The sequence below is a fragment of the Homo sapiens genome, chromosome 6 (assembly GCF_000001405.40).
Source record: "Homo sapiens chromosome 6, GRCh38.p14 Primary Assembly".
Lineage (NCBI taxonomy): Eukaryota > Metazoa > Chordata > Mammalia > Primates > Hominidae > Homo > Homo sapiens.
Genome location: NC_000006.12, coordinates 17,337,151 through 17,343,685, shown reverse-complemented (window position 1 = coordinate 17,343,685; position 6,535 = coordinate 17,337,151). Strand labels below are relative to the sequence as shown.

General features: G+C 44.7%; 2 annotated features.

Moving 5' to 3' along the window:
• Positions 1,658-2,857: an enhancer, noted in NCBI's record as "BRD4-independent group 4 enhancer chr6:17341060-17342259 (GRCh37/hg19 assembly coordinates)". NCBI's record gives its function as "activates an origin of replication core promoter dependent on BRD2, P300/CBP, MED14 and CDK7 cofactors, and independent of BRD4, by STARR-seq in HCT116 cells {active_cell/tissue: HCT116}" and the evidence as "EXISTENCE:reporter gene assay evidence [ECO:0000049][PMID:35650434]".
• Positions 2,282-2,482: a silencer, noted in NCBI's record as "peak5700 fragment used in MPRA reporter construct". NCBI's record gives its function as "represses an SCP1 promoter by STARR-seq MPRAs in K562 erythroleukemia cells {active_cell/tissue: K562}" and the evidence as "EXISTENCE:reporter gene assay evidence [ECO:0000049][PMID:32103011]".

The following is a 6,535-nucleotide window of genomic DNA, read 5'->3' as shown; positions in this document are numbered from 1 at the left end:
ATCTGCCCGCCTCAGCCTCCCGATGTGCTGGGATTACAGGCGTGAGCCACTGCACCCAGCTGTATTTCCCAGTTTTTAAATAGGGTTTCATTTACTGGCTAACCAGTAAGGCTGTATGCACTTATTGCACTCTCTTACTCTCTGTGTGTGTGCAGGCACAAGTGTGTGTGTTTGTGTGTGTGTGTCCTAGTGTTCCTACCAGGGAATTTAGGTTCTAGTCCCGTTCTACTACAACTTGCCTTCAGGGTGTGTCCTCTACTCTGTTTCCTCTTCTGTAAAATGCTGGACTGGATTAAAGTTCAAAAGTCTCTTCCACCTCTAACGTTCTGTGATACCATCATTTTCTCACAAGATTGTGAGCTTCACAACACTAAGTAGGGATTGTAGTGTTTTGGGGGGTTTTCCAAGCTTAAATTACTTGGCCCATGACAGATACTCAGTGATTCCATTAAGTCTGAGCTAAGGTTTGAATGTCCCTCCAAAAGCATGTGTTAGAAACTTAATCTCCAATGCAACAGTGTTGGGAGGTAGGGCCTAATGAGAGGGTGATTAGTTTATGATGGTAGAGTGAAGTGGGATCGTGGATTCTTTTTTGTTTTTTTTTGGAGATGGAGTCTCGCTCTGTCGCCCAGGCTGGAGTGCAGTGCTTGATCTTGGCTCACTGCAAGCTCTGCCTCCCAGGTTTACATCATTCTCCTGCCTCAGCCTCCCAAGTAGCTGGGACTGTAGGCGCCTGCCACCATGCTCGGCTAATTTTTTTTGTATTTTTAGTAGAGATGGAGTTTCACCCAGTTAACCAGGATGGTCTCGATCTCCTGACCTCGTGATCCGCCTGCCTCGGCCTCCCAAAGTGCTGGGATTACAGGCATGAGCCACCACGCCCGGCTGTGGATTCTTTTATAAAAGGAACTACATGAGTCATCTCTGTCCATCTAAGAAAGAGAAAGGTAGGTAGGGTGGCAATTGTTGCCTTGCCTCTGTTGTTTTTACAGTAACTACCCCTACATTGCCTTTGACCATTGAGTGCCAGCACTTGGGACCTACCATCTTGGAATCTAATTATTACCATTGCATTTATGTTTTTCAATTAAGTGACTACGGTTCCCACTGTAAGGTATGGTCTACAGAGAAGAGCAGTCACAGAGCTCTTCAGGGATTCAGGGGCTCTCCTTACAAATCTATTTCTCAAGGCATTGGTGAAAGGTATGTCTTCTGGGCCCTCCTAGTGTGGGTGAGGTTTCACGTGGCAAATTCACTCTAGCATTATCAACCTTTGAATCCCTTCCTCTACGGTAAACCACAGGACATCAGCCATTTCTAACTTGCTGTTGATGGGACGTCTTTTGATCCATGTTTCAGCCAAGCAAACTGTTAGCACCTTTCTTACTCCTGAGCTGCAACATTAAATGCAGAATCTCTACTTAGTGGGTTCATATTAATAAATTTCAGACTGATCCAACTGTGGGTTCCCTCCACCATTATTCCACACCCTTAATATCCATTCCCCCACGTGTTCTCCATATTTCTGCTTTATAAATTAGAAAACTCAAGTAGCCCTTTTGGAATGTATCACACCTCCTCCTGACTCACACTTGGTATTTCGCCTTTAGGGTCCTGATGAAACTTGAATCTAGTTACAGTTCTAGAAGCAAAAAAGGGTGGTGGGGTTGGGTCCTGAGGAGAATCAGCATTATCTTGTATGGCTACTGCTTCAGGGGAAGCCATTACTATTTCCGGTTAATCCCCTCAAAGGGAGCAGAAAGGTTGATACCACTGTGTGTGGGGACACTGCTGCCTCTGAGGGTGGGAGTAGAAATGGGGAGGTCACTTCTGGCCAATGAGACTCATGAGGTTCATCAGGGTCTTCCTACAGGTCTTCATCACAATTTGCAGAATTCCACTGTTTCCTAATCAATGCCCTCACTTTAACAGTAGGTAGTCTGTGAGGCTGAGAGTTCAGCTTTCCTTGCAATTCAACCAGTCATGTGATGAGGGTTTGTGTTTGATTTTTGGCAATTTCAGACCTGTAGTCACAGGAGAGAAGATTCTGACTCAGGACACACCTAGAAACTCTTAAGTCACTTATGTGGACTGGGAGTCAGGAAATCCATTCCAGGAGATCATCCAATTCCTTCATCATTCTATCCAGTGACACTAGGAGCAACCAACCAACATCATTATGAGAGGTGAAGCCGGCTGGGCTTCTGGGTGGGGTTGTGACTTGGAGAACTTTTCTGTCTAGCTAAAGGATTGTAAATGCACCAATCAGTGCTCTGTGTCTAGCTAAAGGTTTGTAAACACACCAATCAGCACTCTGTAAAAACGCACCAATCAGCACTCCGTGTCTAGCTAAAGGTTTGTAAACGCACCAATCAGCACTCTGTAAAAACGGACCAACCAGCAGGATGTGGGTGGGGCCAAATAAGGGAATAAAAGCTGGCCACTTGAGCCAGCAGTAGCAACTGCTCCTGCTTTGCTCCCCTTCCAGGCTTGGGATGCTTTGTTCTTTTGCTCTTTGTTCTTTCGCTCTTAACAATAAATCTGGTTGCGGCTCACTCTTTGGGTCCACACTACCTTTATGAGCTGTAACACTCACCACAAAGCTTTGCAGCTTCACTCCTGAAGCTGGTGAGACCACAAACCAACCAGGAGGAACGAACAACTTCTGATGCGCCCTTTTTAAGAATTGTAACGCTCACTGTGAAGGTCTGCAGCTTCACTCCTGAAGTCAGCAAGACCATGAACCCACCAAAAGGAAGAAACTCCAGACACATCTGAACATCTGAAGGAAAAAACTCTGGACACCCATCTTTAAGAACTGTAAAACTCACCGCGAGGGTCCGCAGCTTCATTCTTGAAGTCAGCAAGACCAAGAACCCACCGGCAGGAACCAATTCCGGACACAATTATATTCCTTGGTGTTTCCACAAATGTTTGAGAATATTATGTATAGAGTCATTAAATTCTTTGCCTCTTATAAGTAGTAAATTATGAGTATCAAATGCATTTATTTTGCGTATCTCTAAAACTGTTCATGCCATGGACTATCAGTGCCCTCTGTACAAGTAGAAGTAGAGTCCCTAGCATTTTTAGGTCTACTCAAACTAAAGAGCCGCTTCCAGAAACCCCCGGACCAATTAAGGAAACTTATCCTTAAAATTCTGTTCCTCGGCGGGGCACAGTGGCTCACGCTTGTAATCCCAGCACTTTGGGAGGCCAAGGCGAGTGGATCACCTGAGGTCGAGAGTTTGAGACCAACCTGACCAACATGGAGAAACCCCATCTCCACTAAAAATACAAAATTAGTCAGGTGCAGTGGTGCAGTCTGTAATCCCAGCTAGCTGGGAGGCTGAGGCAGGAGAATCGCTTGAAGCTGGGAGGCGGAGGTTGCAGTGAGCAGAGATTGCGCCATTGCACTCCAGCCTGGGCAGGAAGAGTGAAACTCCATCTCAAAAAAAAGAAAATTCTGTTCATCTAGTACCACTCCTGGTAACAAAACCTGTATTAGTAATGGGCCTTTCGAGAGACGGAACTAGTAGGACATAAATAGAAAGATGGATGGAGAGAGAGATGATAGATAGATAGATAGATAGATAGATAGATAGATAGATAGATGACAGATTTATTAGGGGAATTGGCTCATGCGACTATTGAGGCTGAAAAGTCCCACAACAGGCTGTGCGTTATTTGATATACATACTATAAATGCTATTTACAGAGTAAATAAGAGTGGCATAAGGGCAGCAGAAGACTCCAGAGGAAAATGTTGCAAGGTACCAGGGGCAAGATGATGAGCATGTAAACTACAACATGGTAATGGAGAAGAAAAGGAATAGACAATTGCAAGTGGTGTCAAGCAGGTATAAGGATAGTATTTGACAACTGATTAAATGATGGTGGGCATGAGGATAGTAGGCAAAAGCATAACACCTGGGAGCCAAGCACAAGGAGGAAGTTTTGTGGAGTCAGATCATGAGTTTTGTTTTGGAGATGTTGAACTTAGAATGCCATGCAATAGCTGAGGGTAGGCTGTCCAGTAGAATGTCAGACAAATATGGGTTGGTGCTTGGAGGATAGAGAATCATCAACACTTAGGACAGTGGTTCTCAACCCTTTGAAAACCAGCATTTCCTTTTAAAATAAATACTTAGTATAACTTCTGCAATGCATAGGTAATATGCAGCCACACCTTTGTTTTATTGCTCTTCGCTTTATTGTGCTTTGCGATACTGCACTTTTTACAAATTGAAGGACTGTGGAAAACCTGTGTTGAGCAAGCCTATCAATGCTATTTTTCCAACAGCATGTGCTCATTTTATGTCTCTGTGCCAGAATTTTTTCTAGCAACAAAGCATTATTAAATTAAGGTTTGTACATTGTTCTTTGTTTTGTTTTTTTGAGACGAAGTTTCGGTCTTGTTGCCCAGGCTGAAGCGCAAATGGCGCAATCTCGGCTCACTGCAACCTCTGCCTCCCGGGTTCACACCATTCTCCTGCCTCAGCCTCCCAAGTAGCTGGGATTACAGGTGCCCAGCACCATGCCTGGCTAATTTTTGCACATTTAGTACAGACGGGGTTTCACCGTTTGACCAGGCTGGTCTTGAACTTCTGACCTCAGGTGATCCACAGGCCTCGGCCTCCCAGAGTGCTGAGATTACAGGCGTGAGCCACCGTGCCTGGCCCATATTGGTTTTTTTTAGACATAATACTATTACACACTTAATAGACTATGGTATAGTGTAAACATAACTCTTATATGCATTGGAAAAGAAAAAATGTGTGTGACTCTTGCTTTATTGCAATATTCCCTTTATTGCGGTATCTTTATTGCAGAGGTCTGGAACTGAGCCTGCAACATCTTCGAGGTACGCCTATACACATATAAATTCTTTAAGAATTCCAATAATACCATGTAAAGGACACATAAACACAGAGCAATTTATTCTTTAAAATAAAAATTTAGGCTGGGCGCGGTGGCTCATGCCTGTAATCCCAGCACTTTGGGAGGCCGAGGCAGGCGGATCATGAGATCAGGAGATCAAGACCATCCTGGCTAACACGGTGAAACCCCATCTCTACTTAAAAAAAGAAAAAAAATTAGCCAGCCGTGGTGGCGGGCACCTGTAGTCCCAGCTACTTGGGAGGCTGAGGCAGGAGAATGGCATGAACCCAGGAGGCAGAGCTCGCAGTGAGCTGAGATTGCACCACTGCACTCCAGCCTGGGTGACAGAGCAAGACTGTCTCAAAAAAAAAAAAAATTAATATTTACATATTCAGGCATGACTACACTTACAGTTCATAAATATATGTTATATATGTGTGCAAGGTTAGTCGCTACAGAATTCATTCATTTAACAACTGTTCATCGAGTCCCTTCTAAGTTACAAGTGCAATTTTAGGTACTGGGGAAACAGCAGTGAAATGAAAGAAACAGTGTCTGCTCTCATAGAATTTACATTCTCTTAGAGAGCAAGACAGACAACAAACAAATAAATAGGTAAATAGTAACACAATTTCTTATGGTCATAAGAGCTATGAGAATACAGACTATTGGGATAAGGAGTGGTATCGGGGGAGGTCTACTTTTGGTGGCAAAGTCAGTAAAAGTCTCTCTGAAGCATTAAAGATGAAACAGAGGCAGCTTCATGGAGGAATTATTGCCCCAAGATGGAGAGAAGGTAAGTGTGTTTGCGGATCAGCAAGAAGAACGTAGCAAGAGGGCAATGTTTTAAGATGACCTAGAAGTAAGCATAAGTCATATCATAAAGGTCAAAATAGGAAGCTGAGGTTTTTTTGTGTTTTTTTGTTTGTTTTGTTTTTTTCTTGAGATGGAGTCTCACCCTATCACCCAGGCTAGAGTGCAATGGCATGATCTCGGCTCACTGCAATCTCTGCCTCTTGGGTTCAAGCAATTCTCCTGCCTCAGCCTCCCAAGTAGCTGGGAATAGAGGCGCGTGCCCCCACTCCTGGCTAATTTTTTGTATCTTTAGTAGAGATGCGGTTTCACCATGTTGGTCAGGCTGGTCTCGAACTCCCGATCTCGGGTGATCCACCCCCCCAGGCTTCCCAAAGTGCTGGGATTACAGGTGTCAGCCACCACACCCTGCCAGGAAGCTGAAGTTTTGTTCTAAGTGCCAGATGAAACCATCAGAAAACTTTAATCAGAGGTAGGAGATGATCTTATCTATTTTTTTTTTTTTGAGACGGAGTCTTGCTCTGTTGCTCAGGCTGAAGTGCAGTGGAGTGATCTCAGCTCACTGCAACCTCCACCTCCCTGGTTCAGGTGATCCTCCTGCCTTAGCCTCCCGAGTAGCTGGGATTACAGGTGCCCGCCACCATGCCCACTAATTTTTGTATTTTAGTGGAGATGGGGTTTCGCCATGTTGGCCAGGCTGGTCTCGAACTCCTGGCCTCAAGTGATCTGCCCACCTCGGCCTCCCAAAGTGCTGGGATTGCAGGCATGGGCCACTGTGCCTGGCCTGATCTACTTTTCAAAAGTATATTCTTCAGACTTCCCATTATGACAGCATGGCAGA